Genomic DNA, 18,219 nt, shown 5'->3' on the forward strand with positions numbered 1-18,219 from the left:
ATTGATTGTAAGACCCTTATTATTTTATGTAACACTAAAAAACACTGCCAGGTATATTTTTAGTAGAGATGGGGTTTCACCATGTTGGCCAGGCTGTTCTCAAACTCCTGACCTCAAGTGATCTGCCCACCTCACCCTCCCAAAGTGCTGGGATTACAGGCATGAACCACCGCACCAGGCCACCACTTGTAATTTTTATTTTCTACTTAAGAAAGAACTCTTTTAGTCTTACATAGATAGAGACCTTTTTCTTTATCAGGGCTATTTCTTTTTTGTTTTATGTATTTTATTTGTTTGGAATTGGAAACTTACAGAAAAAGTTCAATACAAGACACTGCTATGTAACCTTTACCCGGATTCTCCATCTGGTTATTTACATTGTGCCCTATTTGCTTTCTCATTCTCTCTCCTTCTCTGTCTACATATGCATCACTTTGTTCTGAACCATTTAGAGTGAGTTGGAGACATCATGCCTCTTTAATACCCAGATATTCAGGATATATTTCCTACAAACAAGGACATTCTCTTATATATCCATAATATAGTTATCAGGAAATTTAATGTTGATATGATAGTATTATCTGACACAGACATTTAAATTTTATATTTTATCAATTGTCTCTGTAATGGCTTTTAAAAATAGCTATTTTTTCTTCCTAGTCCAGAATCTAAGAAATCACATAGTTCTTTTAGTTGTCATGTTTCTTTAGACAATTTTAATCTGAAACAGTTTCTCAGCCTTTCTTTGTTTTTCTTGACCTTGTTGTTTTGAAGAACACAAGCCAGTTACTCTGTAGAATGTTCTTCAATTTTGGTTTGTCAGATGTATAGTCATGATTTTAGATTGGGGTTTTTTATTTTTGGCAGCTATAACATAGAAGTGATATTGTGACCTTTTCAGTGCATCAGATAAAGAGGCACCAATTTTTTTTTTTTTTTTGAGACAAAGTCTCACTCTGTCACCCAGGCTGGAGTACACTGTGATTATGGCTCACTGCAGCTGCAACCTCCCTGGGCTCAGGGGATCCTCCCACCTCAGCCTCCCGAGTAGCTGGGACTACAGGCGTGTGCCACCATGGCTGGCTAATTTTTATATTTTTTGTACAGACAGGGTCTCACCATATTGCCCAGGCTGGTCTCAAGCTCCTTGCCTCAAGCAATCTGCCCACCTTGGCCTCCCAAAGTGTTGGGATTACAGGTGTGAGCCACTGCACTTGGGCAGACCAGCATTTAAAAATCAAATATCACTTTTGTATATATATAAATGAAAATGTAAGTGAAATAAATTAATCAACGTGTTTCTAAAACTTATTTACATTCAAGGTATTAACCTCCTAAAATGTTTTTTACTAAGACTGTAATAAGTACTGATTATGTTACTTACCTTCTGACAGATGCACAAACTACTACATATATTGAAGAAGGAACAGACCATTTACAACATGATATTTCATGAACTTATTCGACAAGTCAGTGTGGACTGTGCAGACAGAGGAGAACTTCTGTCTAAAGTCAGGTTAGTGCTGTTATTGGAATGGTCCAGTTTCCTTTTGATTTTTATATTAGATTTGTCTTTATATCTACTTTTGAGAATGCCACAAAAGTGCACTTCTCTATTCTACTGATCGTAAGTAATCTAACTGCATTTTTTTTTCTTTTTTGTTAATATATGGAAAGGGTCTATAGCTTTCATTTTATTTTAGCCATATTATCTTGGGTGAGATACAGTGAGACCTGATGCAGATCAAGAGAAAGAACCCAGAAAGAGTTTTATAGTTTTGTTATACTCACAGCTCCCTGGGGAGAAGCAGCATGCCATACAGGGCCATTGCGGGGAGACACCAAGTCAGTCATGAGGTAATGAGAGGGAGGGAACCTGTGGGGAGGCACCTCTATTGTGGTTTCCTTGGGAAGGAATAAGTGAGGCAGGTTAAGTAGGCTTAAGATTGGATTGTTTGGATAATTTCACTGGGCATTCCATAATAGGGGTTGTCCCTGGTTGTTTGGTACCTGGCCTTGGGGCAATAAGAGAATTTTTGAAAGATATTTTTGTTGGATATAGACAGTTTTTAAATTTAGTACTTTAAAGATGTTGTTGCCCTACTCTCATTTGCATTGTTTCCAGTGAGAAATCTGCTGCCATCCTTGTCTTTATTCCCCCAAACGTAATGTGTGTTTTTCCTGGAGCTGATTTTAGGATTTTTTCCTTTTTTTTTTTTTTTTTTTTTGAGACAGTCTCGCTCTGTCGCCCAGGCTGGAGTGCAATGGCGCGATCTCGGCTCACTGCAACTTCTGCCTCCAAGGTTCAAGCAATTCTCCTGCCTCAGCCTCCCGAGTAGCTGGGATTACAGGCGCCTGCCACCACGCCCGGCTAATTTTGTATATTAGTAGAGACGGGGTTTCACCATGTTGGTCAGGCTGGTCTCGAACTCCTGACCTCGTGATCTGCCTGCCTTGGCCTTCCAAAGTGCTGGGATTACAGGCGTGAGCCACCGAGCCCAGCCTTAAGATTTTTTCTTTACCATTGCTTTTGAGCAGTTTCACTATGCTATGACTTGGTGTAGTTTTTTTTCACGTTTCTTGTGCTTGGTGCTTATTAAGCATTTTGGTCTGTGGCTTTATAGTTTTCATCAAATATGGAACATTTTTGGCTATTTCTTTAAGTGTTTTTCTGTCCCTCCACCTCTTTTGAGGGAATTTGTTTACACATGTATTAGGCCACTAGTACTGAAGTTGTCCCACAGATCACTAATGTTATACACATTTTTGCTCTTTTCTATTTGTCTTCATTTTGGATAGTTTCTATTGCTATACCTTCAAGTTCATTAATCTTTTTTTCCCATAATATCTAATCTGCTTTTAATCCTATCTAATTATTATTACTATTCTTATTATTTTTGACATAGAGTCTTGCTCTGTTACCCAGGCTGGAGTGCAGTGGCATGATCTTGGCTCATTGCAGCCTTGAACTCCTGAGCTCAAGTGATCCGCCTACCTCAGCCTCCTCAGTAGCTGGGGCTACAAGTGTGTGCCACCACACCCAGCTAATTTTTTTGTATTTTTTTTTGTAGAGACAGGATCTTACTTTAATCCTATCTAGTATATATTTTCATCTCAGACATTTTTGCTTTCATCTCTAGAAGGTCAGTTTGGGTCTTTTAAATATCTTCCATGTCTCTACTTAACTTTTTGAACATACAGAATGTAGTTAGATAACTTTTAGTGGTTTTGTCTGTTAATTCTACCGTCTATTTTGGTTCTGGGTCAGTTTTGATTCATTGATTTTTCTCCTCATAGGTGTGTTTTCCTGCTTCTTTACATGTTTAGTAATTGTCTTAGTCTGCCTTGTGCTGCTATAACAGAATATCACAGACGGGGGGTAATTTATAATGAGCAGAGATTTATTGGCTCACAGTTTGGGAAGCTGGGAAGTGCAGTGTACAAAGGTGCCATCATCTGGTGAGAACCTTCTTGTGGTAATCATAACATGACAGAAAGTGAGAGGGTGAGAGAGAGAGAAAGAGGGAGTGGGTCCACTTGTGCGATAATGACCCCATTCCTGCAATAATGGCATTAGTCCATTTATCAGGGCAGAGCCCTCACGACTTAAACACCTCCTGAAAGGTCCACCTCTTAATACTGTTATAATAACAATTAAATTTCAACACTAGTTATGAGGGGAGAAACATTTAAACCTAGCAGTAATTTTGATTGGATGGCAGTCATGAATTATGCCTTATTTGGATGCTGTATATTTTTGTTTTCATACAAATATTCGTTAGCTTTGTTTTGGGACACAATTAAGTTATTTAAAAAAATTTGATCCTGTTAGGTCTTTAGGTGGGACAAGAGCAGTGCCCAATTTAGGGCTAATTATTTCTGAATACCAAGACAAAACTTTTCTGTGTACCATATCCAATGTCCCATGAATCATGAGTTTTTACAGTCTGGTTGGTTGGTACTGGTACTACTTCTATGCGAGTTCTGGCATTCTTACCTCTGATCCTTTTGGGTAGTTCTTTCCTTGGTCTTGGGTAGTTTTCTCACATTTATGCCCTGATCAGTACTTAGCTGAACACTTGAGGGAGATCTTCTGCATATCTTGTATAACTCTTTTCTCTCTGCTACTCTGTCCTCTGAACTCTAGCTGCTTTCATCTCTCTAGACTGTTAACTCTGTCTCCTTAACTCAGAGAGTCAACTGGGGTCTTCCTGGATTCCCTCTCAGTGTGCTATGGCCTGGAAAACTCTCCCAAGGCATTAGGCTGGCACAATTGTAGGGTTTGCTTTATTTATTTCTGGTCTCTCAGGGATCACTCTCTTTCATTGCCTGATATCCAGTGTCTTAAAAATGGTTTCCTATTCTTTGTCCTTGTTTTGTTGTTGTCACTTCAGGTAGGAAAGTAAATTTAGTTCCTCTGGATTTCTTTTTATATTTCCTGTACCTATATCTATACCATAATTCACTATATAGATTAATGTCTTTCAGAAGTGTTGGGAAATTATCAGTGATGATCTTTGACTCATGTCTGTACTGCATTCTGTCTTCTGTTTCTGGAGCTTTGATTAGATATATGTTAGATATTCTCATTCTGTCTTCTTTGTCTCTTAATCTCTTTTTCATAGTTTCCCTCTTGTCTCTGTCCTACATTTTGAGTAATTTGTTCTAGGACATTACTGTCTTCTCTAGGTGTGTCTATTATGCTATAACCCATCTATTATTAACTCAACAATTATATTTTTCCCCTAAGAGATTTTTTTTTTTGAGACAGGATCTCGCTGTGGCCCAGGCTGCAGTGCAGTGGCACGATCTTGGCTTACTGCAACCTCTGACTCTCGGGTTCAAGTGATTCTTGTGCCTTAGCCTCCCAAGTAGCTGGGACTACAGGCACACACCACCATGCCTGGCTATTTTTTTTTTTTTTTGTATTTTTAGTAGAGACAGGGTTCGCCATATTGGCCAGGCTAGTCTTGAACTCCTGGCCTCAAGCGATCCGCCCACCTCAGCCTCCCAGAGTGCTGGGATAACAGGTGTGAGCCACTGTGCCTGGCCTCCCTTAAGAGTTTTGTTGGTTTGTTTCCACGTTTGTCTCATCAAATATAATAATTTTATTGCTTATTCATTTTTAGATTCTTTTTTTTTTTTTTTTTGAGATGGAGTTTCACTCGTCACCCAGGCTACAGTGCAATGGCACGATCTCAGCTCACTGCAACCTCCACCTCCGCATTCAAGTGATTCTCCCGCCTCAGCCTCCTGAGTAGCTGGGATTACAGGCATGCGCCACCATGCCTGGCTAATTTTGCATTTTTAGTAGAGACGGGGTTTCACCATGTTGGCCAGGCTGGTCTCGAACTCCTAATTTCAGGTGGTCTGCCCACTTCAGCCCCACAAAGTGCTGGGACTACAGGTGTGAGCCACCATGCCCAGCCCATTTTTAGATTCTAACTTTTATTTCTCAAACATTTCATGCGTAGTCTTATAAAATCTGCTATTGGTTATTTCTTCTGAGTCTCATTCATGGTGGTTTATTTACATTAGTATTTTGCAGCCTTTGCTTGTGGAGCTAATATTTCACTGACCTTGGCCATGGGATCCTCAGGGCATGAATCCAGGATGCTTTCTGGAAAAAGAAGATTTGTATGTGCTCCCTTCTGGAATCTGGGATTCATGCAGTAGTCCTACACTTGCCCACGTCTCCCACTTTGAAGTCAGCCCAAGGCTTAGTCTCTGGTTCTCAGTGTTGGTATTTTCCTGGGGACCATCCTGACCTTGGGTTTGCTTACTGCTTACAACTCCCACTCCATTTCTAACTTACTATTTTTTGTTTGTTCTTATTGTTTTTCATCCCTAGAGTCTTCTGTTTCTTCCTGCAAACTCAGTAATGCTTTGAAAAGTGTGTTCTCTTATGGATCTAGTTGGATTGTAATGGGAAGGTCCTTCAGAGTATTTAGTTCCTATATTGTCAGGAGGGGGAAATCCTAAAGATGATGTTTTTTAAATTGATATTTCCAATATATGAGCTGCATCTTGAGGTGATAAACTCCCTGCCACTTTCAGCCTTAAAGCAAGGGCTGGATAATTCTTTCTGTCAATGAATGAAAGATTAAACGACCAGTCAACTCAGACATATTACAAATCTAGGACCTCAGGCTTAGGGTGTAACACCTAGATCAGTTTTTTTTTTTTTTTTAAGACAGTCTTGCTCTGTCACCCAGGCTGGAGTGCAGTGGTGAGATCTCTGCTCACTGCAACCTCTGCCTCCCAGGCTCAAGTGATTCTTGTGTCTCAGCCACCCAAGTAGCTGGGATTATAGGCATGTGCCACTATGCCACACTAATTTTTGTATTTTTAGTAGATACAAGGTTTTTCCATGTTGGCTAGGCTGGTCTTGAACTCCTGGCCTCAAGTGATCTACCTGCCTCGGTCTCCCAGAGTGCTGAGGTTACAGGTGTGAGCCATCACGCCTGGCCTAGATCACTGTTAATATAAATGAATACTATTCTGTTATGGTATTTATAATTTATCATCTGTGATCACTTCCAAATATTTTGTTTGGTTTTATTCAGAAGCAAAAGAAATGACTTCTTTGTATTAAAGATTTTTGTTTGTGTTTAAATAGTTGTCGTTTTACATGTTGTCAATTTGAAAAAATGGCTTTATTCATGAATTTAACTATTTATAAGAATCTCACTATACGTTAAGTCATGCTGTTAGATGTTGTAAAAATACAAATATGTAAGACATCGTTTCTAGTCTCAAAGAATTTATATCTAGAAGAAGGAATAAAACAAGTTTTTATTTTTGTTTTACGTCTAACATATGATATTCCAAATAATTAGGGCTCTACAATTTTCTACAATTGTTCACTCACTTGTATGGCATGGCAGGAAAACACAGCCTAGATTCCTTTTTTTTTCTTTTTTAATGAAGCCACAGCATTCTGCTTCTGTGCTTTTTATTTTTTATTTATTTATTTTTTTGAGATGGAGTTTCGATCTTGTTGCCCAGGCTGGAGCGCAATGGTGCAATCTTGGCTCACTGCAACCTCTGCCTCCCAGGTTCAAGTGATTCTCCTGTCTCAGCCTACTGAGTAGCTGGGATTATAGGCATGCACCATGACACCTGGCTAATTTTGTATTTTTAGTAGAGATAGGGTTTATCCATGTTGGTCAGGCTGGTCTCAAACTCCCGACATCAGGTGATCCACCCACCTCGGGCCCCCAAAGTGTTGGGATTACAGGCGTGAGCCACTGAGGCCAGACTTCTTCTTTTTTTTTTTTTTTTCCTATATTGTTCATCTCACATATCTTTTGGAATGTCTGTTTACTATTTTATTGCCTAACATTACTTTCTCTCTTGCATATTTTCTATCTTTTTTTCCTTTCCTTCTGCATGATACCTTGTTTCTCTTATTTTATTTCAATAGTTTTTGGAGAACAGGTGGTTTTTGGTTACACAGATAAGTTCTTGAGTGGTGATTTCTGAGATTTTTGGTGTACTCGTGGTATGGTTTGGCTGTGTCCCCATCCAAATCTCATCTTGAATTGTTGTTGCCATAATCCCCACATGTTGTGGAAGGGACCAGGTAGAGATGGTTGAGTCATGAGGGCCGTTTCCCTCATTCTGTTCTTGTGATAGTGAATTAGTTCTCATGAGATCTGATGATTTTATTTATTTATTTATTTATTTACTTATTTATTTATTTATTTTTGAGATGGAGTCTCACTCTGTTGCCCAGGCTGTAGTGCAGTGGCGCAATCTCAGCTCACTGCCACCTCCAGCTCCTGGGTTCAGGTGATTCTCCTGCCTCAGCCTCCCAAGTAGCTAGGATTACAAGTATGCATTACCATGCCCAGCTAATTTTTTGTATTTTTAGTAGAGAGAGGGTTTCACTGTGTTGGCCAGGCTAGTCTCAAGCTCCTGACCTCAGGTGATTCACCTGTCTCAGCCTCCCAAAGTGCTGGGATTACAGGCATGAGTCACTGTGCCTGGCCAGAGATCTGATAGTTTTATAAAGGGCTTCTTCCTTTTCTGGGCTTTCATTCTTCTCCTTCCTGCTGCCATGTGAAGAAGGACATGTTTGCTTTCCCTTCTGCCATGATTGTAAGTTTCCTGAGGCCTCCCCAGCTCTGTGGAACTGAGAGTCAATTAAATCTCTTTCCTTTATAAATTACCCTGTCTTGGGTATATCCTTATAGCGCTGTGAGAATGGACTAATATAACCCATCACCCGCTGAGCAGTGTACACTGTACCAAATATGTAGTCTTTATTCCTCACCCCCATCCTAATCTTCCTCCTCAGACCCCAGAGTCCATTATATCATTCTTATGCCTTCGCATCCTCATAGCTTAGCTCCTATTTATAAGTGAGAACATACAATATTTGGTTTTCCATTCCTGAGTTACTTCATTTAGAATAATGGTCTCAAACTCCAACCAAGTTGCTGCAAATGCCATTATTTCATTTCATCTTATAGCTAAGTAGTATTCCATAGTGTGTATATACCACATTTTCTTTATCCACTCATTGCTTGATGGACATTTAGGTTGGTTCCATATTTTTGCAGTTGCAAATTGTGCTACTGTAAACATGCATGTGCATGTGTCTTTTTCATATAATGACTTATTTTCCTGTGGGTAGATACCCAGTAGTGGGATTGTTAGATTGAATGGTAGTTCTACTTTTAGTTCTTTGAAGAATCTCCATACTGTTTTCCATAGTGGTTGTACTAGTTTACATTCCCACCAGCAGTGTAAAAGTGTTCTCTTTTCACCACATCCAAGCTGACATTTATTTTTGATTTTTTAAATTATGGCCATTCTTGCAGTAGTAGGGTGATATTTCATTGTAGTTTTAAATTGCATTTTCTTGATAATTAGTGATGTTGAGTATTTTTTCATGTTTGTTGCCTGTTTGTATATCTTCTTTTGAGGATTGTCTATTCATGTCCTTTGCCCACTTTTTGGTGAAATTATCTGTTTTTTTCTTGCTGATTTGTTGGAGTTCATCGTAGATTTTGGGTACTAGTCCTTTGCCAGGTGCATAGTTTATGAATATTTTCTCCCTCTCTGTGGGTTGTCTGTTTAACCTGCTGATTATTTCTTTTGTTGTGCAGAAGTTCTTTAGTTTAATTAGGTCCCATCTATTTATTTTTGTTTTTGTTGCATTTGCTTTTGGGTTCTTGGTCATGAATTCTTTGCCTAAGCCAATGTCTAGAAGAGTTTTTCTGATGTTATCTTCTAGAATTTTTATGGTTTCAGGTCTTTAAGTCTTTGATCCATCTTGAGTTGACTTTTGTATGAGGTGTGAGATGAGGATCCAGTTTCATTCTTCTACATATGGCTTGCCAATTATCCCAGCACCATTTGTTGAAAAGGGTGTCCTTTCCCCACATTATGTTTTTGTATGCTTTGTTGCAGATCAGTTGGCTGTAAGTATCTGAGTTTATTTCTGGATTCTCTAGTCTGTTCCGTTGGTCTATGTGCCTATTTTTATACCCGTACCATGCTGTTTTGGTAACTATAGCCTTGTAGTATAGTTTGAAGTCAGGTAATGTGATGTTTCCAGATTTATTCTTTTTGTTTAGTATTTCTTTGGCTATGTGGGGTCTTTTTTGGTTCCATATGAATTTTAGGATTTTTTTTTTCCAGTTCTGTGAAGAATGATGATGGTATTTTTGGTGGGAATTGCATGGAATCTGTAGATTGAGTTTGGCAGTATGGTCATTTTCACAATATTGATTCTACCCATCCATGAACATGGGATGTGTTTCCATTTGTTTGTGTCACATGCAATGTTTTTTCAATAGTGTTTTGTAGTTTTTCTTGTAGAGATCTTTCGTCTCCTTGGTTAAGTATATTCCTAAGTATTTTCTTTTCTTTTTCTTTTTCTTTTTTTTTGCAGCTGTTGTAAAAGGGATTGATTTCTTGATTTGATTCTCAGCTTGGTTTTCTTGGTGTATAGCAGTGCTACTGATTTGTGTACATTGATTTTGTAACCTGAGAATTTACTAAATTCATTTATCAGATCTAGGAGCTTTTTGGTTGTTTGTCATGCAGAGAGAGGTATGTGCAAATGCTTGACCAGATTGCTCGGCAGATGATTGATTTCTACAAAGACTTGGTAACTCAGCGAGTGATGGACCAGCGCATTTTAGAAGAATTGTATAATTTCAAGCATGTTATTGAAGAACTGACCAGGTAAAAACTGTGATTATCTTAAACACAAAACAAAAGTCAATGTCATGTCTCTAAAGGGAGTAAAAAATATTTAGGGAAAGTGGAATGGTTAAAGGCCAAGGTTCTTCTGTTTCCTTTTCATGTTTAGCAAGAGAACAAAAAGAACTAGATGTCATTGTAGATATAGATATAGATAAATGGGTTATGCAAGTTCACATAAAAATGAAGACTCTGTATATATTTGACATGGAAAAGACTTACTCTTTCTTCTAAAATATAGATGTTGCTGGGCATGGTGGCTCACACCTGTAATCCCAGCACTTTGGGAGGCTGAGGCGGGAGGATCACTTGAGGTCAGGAGTTTGAGACCAGCCTGGCCAACATGGTGAAACCCCATCTCTACTAAAAATACAAATAATTAGACAGGCGTGGTGGCACATGCCTATAATCCCAACTACTGGGGAGGTTGAGGCAGGAGAATCACTTGAACCCGGGAGGTGGAGGTTGCAGTGAGCCAAGATCATGCCACTGCACTCTAGCCTGGGTGACGGAGCGAGACCCTGTCTCAGAAAAATAAAATAAAATAAAATACAGATGTTTACCTTAATCAGGTTTATAGAACAGTGCCATAATTATGGATGTTAACATTATGGATGTTAACATCTCAAAGAGAATAAGTATCATATAGCCATCAAAGTTAGTGATCATCTAACTTTTAACCTTGAAGCAAGATGGTTAGTGGTGAGAATAAAGAAGATAGGATAGTCATATCAGAAAGCAGGGTAGACCAGCATGGCGGCCTTGCATGTCAGCATCTGCCTCCCTCCATTCTAAAGGATCTCCCCTACATCTTATTTCTGTCTGATTCCTGCCAGCCTGATTTCATTTCCAAACCTGGCAAGATTCCATCTAGAATGTACACTCAATTTCTTGATTTGGTTTATAAGGTGGAAAAACTGGGAAGGGAGGTACACATGATAACTGAGAAGATTCCTGAATATAAATCTGATTTTCTTGGTAGAAACTTTTTGGAAATCTCCAAATATGAATTAAAAATTTCTTTGCTTTATTTCAGGGAACTGTGTCTAGTTCGGGCACATGATGTGAAATTAACAAAGGAAACAGAAAAAGCCCACAAGGATTTGGCACAAGCTCTTTTAAATGCGGAAAAGAATGCCAAGTGAGTTGCTTAAAGTTTGTTTAGCTTACATAGGGGAAAAGGAAGAAGCTTATATAGCTTCTGAAATAATATATATGATACTATAACTTCTTGAATTCTAAAATCACATATAGATAGCTTACTTTATCTGAATTTAGTTGATTTCTCATTCTGGGTGCAAAGAAGGTAAAACATGATTTTTTCTCTTGGAGATAGACCGTTGCTTTCTGCATTAATCATTTTCATTGAGTGAGGATTGCAGGCTATTACTTTCTGGTTTTCTAAAAGAAAGGGTAAAGAAACAGTGAGCATAGATAACATAGATTCTGGAACCATACTGTTTGCTGTGTGACCTTTGGGAAGTCACTTAACTTTTCTGGGCCTAAGTTTGCCCATATGTAAAATTGGGATAATAATATTACCTACCTCATAGGTTATTACGAGTATTAAAGGAAGTAATATAAGTAAAGCACTTAGAATGGTGCTTGGCATATAGTCAGTGCTATGACAATATGAAATATTCTTATAATGGTTGCTTTTAATGAAATTTTATGTCATGAAATATTTCAGACATTCAGAAAAAGAAAGCATTATAGTGAGTACTCATTTACCTTTCATGAATTACCAAATGTCAGCCATTATGTCATACTTGTTTCACACCCCATTTTTAGGAAACAAAATTTTATAGAAATATTTGGAGATTTAGGCCAGGCATGGTGGTTCACGCCTGTAATCCCAGCACTTTGGGAGGCTGAGGCAGGTGGATCACCTGAGGTTGAGAGTTTGAGACTAGCCTGGCCAACATGGCAAAACCCCATCTCTACTAAAAATACAAAAATTAGCTGGAGGTGGAGGTGCTTGCCTGTAATCCTAGCTACGTGGAAGGCTGAGGCATGAGAATTGCTTGAACCCAGGAGGCAGAGGTTGCAGTGAGCTGAGTTTGTGCCACTGCACTCCAGCCTGGGTGACAGAGTGAGATTCTGTCCCATAAAAAGAAAAAAAAAAAAAAAGAAAAATATTTGGAGATTTAAAAAAATACATCTATATCTATGTCTGTATCTCTATATATCTCCATTCTGCTTCTTCCCTCCCCAGAGTTAATCACTAATCAATAGTTGGTATGTAACTTTCCTATCCATGTTTTTATATTTTACTATAATACATAGTTACATATAAAAAAATTTGCGGCTGGGCACAGTGGCTCACGCCTGTAATCTCAGCACTTTGGGAGGCCGAGGTGGGTGGATGATGAGGTCAGGAGATCGAGACCATCCTGGCCAACACGGTGAAACCCTGTCTCTACTAAAAATACAAAAAATTAGCTGACATGGTGGCACGTACCTGTAGTCCCAGCTACTTGGGAGGCTGAGGCAGGAGAATTGCTTGAACCCAGGAGGCGGAGGTTGCAGTGAGCCGAGACTGCGCCACTGCACTCCAGCACTCTAGCCTGGGCGACAGAGCAAGACTCCATCTCAAAAAAAAAAAAACTTGCTTTTACCAACTAAATACTATTCTTTTGAGATCTTCTCGTTATGATGCATATAGAACAAATATTTCTGCACTATAATATTAACCATATGACTAAATTATAATTTATGTATTAATGTATAATTTATGTATCAATCACTCAGAATGGATTTTTCCATTTGCTTGGTAGATTTTTCTCCATCCCTTTATTTTGAGCATATGGGTGTCATTGCATGTGAGATGAGTCTCTTGAAGATAGCATACCAATGGGTCTTGTTTCTTTATCCAGCCTGCAACTCTGTGCCTTTTAATCAGGACATTTAGCCCATTTACATTTAAGGTAAACCAGTAAAGATATATATAGATTTGATCCTGTCATCATGTTAGCTGGTTATAATGCAGACTTGTTTGTGTGGTTGCTTCATAGTGTCACTGGTCTGTGTACTTATGTGTTTTTTAATAGCAGCTGGTAATGGTCTTTCCTTTCCATATTTAGTGCTTCCTTCAGGAGCTCTTTTAAGGCAGATCTGGTGGTAATGAATTTTCTCAGCACTTGCTTGTCTATAAAGGATCTTATTTCCCCTTCACTTATGAAGCTTAGTTTGGACATATATAAAATTCTGGGTTGGAATTTCTTTTTTTAAAGAATGTTGAATATTGGCTTCCAATCTCTTACGGCTTGTAGGGTTTCTGCTGAGAGGTCCACTGTTAGTCTGATGGGCTTCCTTTTGTAGGTGACCTGACTTTTCTTTCTAGATGCCTTTAACCTTTTTTCTTTTATTTTGACTTTTGAGAATCTGATGATTATGTGCCTTGAGGATGATCTTCTTGTGAAGTATTGTACTAGGGTTTTCTGCATTTTCTGAATTTGAATGTTGGTCTCTCTACCTACGTTGGGGAAATCCTCATGGATGATACCCTAAAATATGTTTTCCAAGTTGCTTACACTCACCCTATCTCTTTCAGGGACATCAATGAGTCATAGATTTGGTATCTTTACATAATCCCACATTTCTCCAAGGTTTTGTTCATTCCTTTTTATTCTTTTTTCTCTATTCTTGTCTGACTCTCTTATTTCAGAAAACCAGTCTTCAAGTTCTGAGATTCTTTCTTCAACTTGGTTTATTCTGCTATTAATACTTGTAATTGCATTATGAAGTTATTGTAGAACATTTTTTCAGCTCTATCAGCCCAGTTACAGTCTTTTTTATACTGGCTATTTTGTCTGTCAGCTCCTTTATCATTTTATTGTGATTCATAGCATCCTTGAATTGGGTTTCAGCATACTCCTGCATCTTAATGATCTTCATTCCTATCCATAGCATGAATTCTGTTTGTGTCATTTCTGCCATCTCAGCCCAGTTCAGAACCCTTGCTGGAGAGGTGGTGCGATCATTTGGAGGAAAGAAGGCACTCTGGCTTTTTGAGTTGTCAGAGTCCTTGTGTTGTTTTTTTCTCATATTTGTGGGCTGATGTTTGTTTCATCTTTGAAGTTGCTGATGTTTGGGTGTTTTTTTCCCCTTTTATCCTATATGATGACATCGAGAGTTTGATTGTGGTATAAAATGGATTCAACCAACTGGCTTTATTTCTGGAAGATTCTAGGGGGCCAACGCTCAGCTTCCAACTCCTGGACCGTGTACTCCAACTCTGGGGGACTTGTATTGGGACCAGCTTTGTTCTCTGCTCCTTGAGGTTAGGAATCCACTGCACTGGGGGGAGCTGAGGTGCTCCTGGACCACTGGTCACTACACTCTGTTGGGTGGTGTCAGCCAAAGCCTTTCATAGTGCTGTGGCAGTGGGATCTGCCCTTGTTTTCATGTGTCAGCAGCAGCAGTAGTGGCAATGTTGTGGGGGTGCATTCTCATTGGCTGCAACAGGTGCTGGGGTGCCTGCTTCCATGTGGGTGTCACCACAGAGTGGAGGCAGCACAGCTGGAAGAGGGTTGGGGGGCCCCTGCTGGCAACTGTGTGCACAGTTGTGCTGGTGGTGGTCTTAGCATGGGGGCAAGGCTCTGGCAGATGCAGGTCTATGTGCATTCTCTGTGAGCTGCAGGCAGGGGTGGTCACTCAGGGCAGGGGAGAGTCCACTGTTCTCTGAGCTTAGTTTTACTCTTGGAGGAGTGTTGCCACTAAGGGCAGGGTGCTTGTGGGGGTGGGACTGGCTGGGTGTCTGCCCACCAAGGCTGTCACTGTAATGGATCAAAGCCTTGTGGCAGGGGTTGGGGGGAGGGTGTGGAAGGGCAGAATGTACTACTGCCATATCAGTGGCAGGGCAGGGTGTATGCACACATGCATGCTGGTGAGGCAAGGAAAGCAAAACATGCCTGCACACACATGGGCCAGCAAAGTGATGTGGGGCATTGCTGTGGGCCTGGGGGAAGCTGCAGTATTGGGAGGAAGCAGGCAGGCTGGTGCTATGGGTCTTGTTTCTGTGTACATGTACTCACATGTATATGTATAGTTAAAACCAAAATTGTATTGTATGCACTATTCTACAATCAACATTTTTTCAGTTAAGAATGTCGACCTATTTCAGGCTATAGTCACCAAAACAGTGTGGTACTGGTATAAAAATAGGCACGTAGACTAATGGAACAGAATAGAGAATCCCGAAATAAACCCAAATACTTACAGCCAATTGATCTTCAACAAAGCAAACAAAAACATAAAGTGGGGAAAGGACACCCTTTTCAATAAATGGTGCTGGGATAATTGGCTAACCGCATGTAGGAGAATGATACCAGATCCTCATCTCTCACCTTATACAAAAATCAACTCAAGATGAACTAAGGACTTAAATCTAAGACCTGAAACTATAAAAATTCTAGACATAACATTGGAAAACCCTTCTAGACATTGGCTTAGGCAAGGATTTCATGACCAAGAACCCAAAAGCAAAAGCAATAAAAACAAAGATATATATCTGGGACCTAATTAAACTAAAGAGTGTTTGCACAGCAAAAGGAACAGTCAGCAGAGTAAACAGACAGCCCACAGAATGGGAGAAAATCTTCACAATCTATACATCTGACAAAGGACTAATATCCAGAATCTACAATGAACTCAAACAAATCGGTAAGAAAAAACAAACAATCACGTCAAAAAGTGGGCAAAGGACATGAATAGACAATTCTCAAAAGAAGATATACAAATGGGCAACAAACATATGAAAAAATGCTCAACATCACTAATGATAAGGGAAATGCAAATCAAAACCACAATGCAGTACCACCTTACTCCTGCAAGGATGGCTATAATCAAAAAATCAAAATCAGATGTTGCCATGGATGCAGTGATTAGGGAACACTTCTACACTGCTGGTGGGAATGTAAACTAATACACCCACTGTGGAAAACAGTGTGGAGATTCCTTAAAGAACTAAAAGTAGAACTACCATTTGATCCAGCAATCTCACTACTGGGTATCTACCCAGAGGAAAAGAAGTCATTATATGAAAAAGATACTTGCATGGGCATGTTCATAGTGGCACAATTCACAATTGCAAAATCGTAGAACCAACCCAAATGCCCATCAATCAACGAGTGGATAAAAAAACTGTGGTGTATATATATATATGATGGAATACCACTCAGCCATAAAAAGGAATGAATTAATGGCATTTGCAGTGACCTGGATGAGATTGGAGACCATTATTCTAAGTGAAGTAACTCAGGAGTGGAAAACCAAACATTGTATGTTCTCACTGATACGTGGGAGTTAAGCTAGGAGGATGCAAAGGCATAAGAATAATACACTTTGGGGACTTGGGGGAAAGAGTGGGAGGGGGATGAGGGATAAAATACCACAAATATGGTGCTGTGTATACTGCTCGAGTGATGGGTGCTCCAAAATCTCACAAATCACCACTAAAGAACTTACTCATGTAATCAGATACCACCTGTACCCCAATAACTTATGGAAAAATAAAATTTAAAAATTAGGGAAGAAATAAAAAAAAAAAAAGAGAAGATGGCCAGGTGTGGTGGCTAACACCTGTAATCCCAGCACTCTGGGAGGCCAAGGTGGGCAGATCACGAGGTCAGGAGATCAACACCATCCTGGCTAACACAGTGAAACCCCGTTTCTACTGAAAATACAAAAAAAATTAGCCGGGCATGGTGGCAGGCGCCTGTAGTCCCAGCTACTTGGGAGGGTGAGGCAGGAGAATGGCGTGAACCCAGGAGGCAGAGTTTGCAGTGAGCCGAGATCATGCCACTGCACTCCAGCCTGGGCAACAGAGCGAGACTCTGTCTCAAAAAAAAAAAAAAAAAAAAAAAGAAAAAAAAAAGGACACAGAAACAAACAAATGATAAAAAGAATGTGTACGGCCAGGTGCGGTGGCTCACACCTGTAATCCCAGCACTTTGGGAGGTCAAAGCGGGTGGATCAGCTGAGGTCGGGAGTTCGAGACCAGCCTGACCAACATGGAGAAACCCTTTCTTTACTAAAAATACAAAATTAGCCAGGTGTGGTGCCACATGCCTGTAATCCCAGCTACTTGGGAGGCTGAGGCAGGAGAATCGCTTGAACCTGGGAGGCAGAGATTGCGGTGAGCTGAGGTTGTGCCATTGTGCTTCAGCCTGGGCAACAAGAACAAAACTCCATCTCAAAAAAAAAAAAAAAAAAAAGAACGTCTGCCTATTTCAGTAAATTTTTACTTCATAAATTAGCTAGATATTAAAATTTTACCAAGTTTTTCCAAAATACATTTCATAGTTGGGTTAGCCAAACCAGTATCCAATCTAAGAACACACATTACATCTTGTTTTATATCTCTTTTAATACAGCCTATTCCTGTGCTTTCTAAAAAATTGATTGAAGAGTGATTGAATTTTTTAAATGTCAAGAAAAACCAAATGTACCTAAGATCTAAATTCAGAAATGTATTTTTACTTTTATTCTATTTTATTCTTTACTAGCATAATATGGTTTGGCTGTGTCCCCACCCAAATATTGTCTTAAATTTTAGCTACCATAATTCCCACGTGTTGTGGGAGGGACTTGGGGGGAAATAATTGAATCGTGGGGGTGGTTTCCCTGTACTGTTCTCGTGGTAGTAAGTCTCACGAGACCTGATTGTTTTATAAGGGGAAACCCCTTTTGCTTGGCTTTCATTCTCTCTTTGCCTGCCGCTATGTAAGAGGGGCCTTTCACCTTCCACCATGATTGTGAGGCCTCCCCAGCCACGTGGAACTGTGAGTACATTAAACCTCTTTTCCTTTATAAATTATTCAGTCTCGGGGCCGGGCAAGGTGGCTCAAGCCTGTAATCCCAGCACTTTGGGAGGCTGAAGCAGGCGGATCACGAGGTTAAGAGATAGAGACCATCCTGGCCAACGTGGTGAAACCCCATCTCTACTAAAAATACAAAAATTAACTGTGCGTGGTGGCATGCGCCTGCAGTCCCAGCTAT

The 18,219-nt window shown here is 39.7% G+C and overlaps 1 protein-coding gene across 22 annotated transcripts in view; it reads left to right on the forward strand.

The window, feature by feature from the left end:
- AXDND1 (axonemal dynein light chain domain containing 1) overlaps nt 1-18,219 on the forward strand; it is a 189,031-nt gene that overhangs the window by 18,139 nt on the left and 152,673 nt on the right. For 21 of the 22 annotated variants that reach the window (XR_921742.3, XR_921741.2, NR_073544.2 and 18 more), the window contains 3 exons: nt 1,395-1,516; nt 10,060-10,200; nt 11,255-11,359. Coding sequence is in view for 19 of the 22 variants with exons in the window: in XM_011509168.2 (XP_011507470.1) it covers nt 1,395-1,516; nt 10,060-10,200; nt 11,255-11,359 (368 nt within the window). In the remaining 3 variants the exon portion in view is untranslated. Of the gene's footprint in view, nt 1-1,394; nt 1,517-10,027; nt 10,201-11,254; nt 11,360-18,219 lie in introns of all 22 variants that reach the window. The other variant, XM_017000258.2, reaches the window with a different exon arrangement.

The sequence above is a fragment of the Homo sapiens genome, chromosome 1 (genome assembly GCF_000001405.40).
Source record: "Homo sapiens chromosome 1, GRCh38.p14 Primary Assembly".
NCBI lineage: Eukaryota > Metazoa > Chordata > Mammalia > Primates > Hominidae > Homo > Homo sapiens.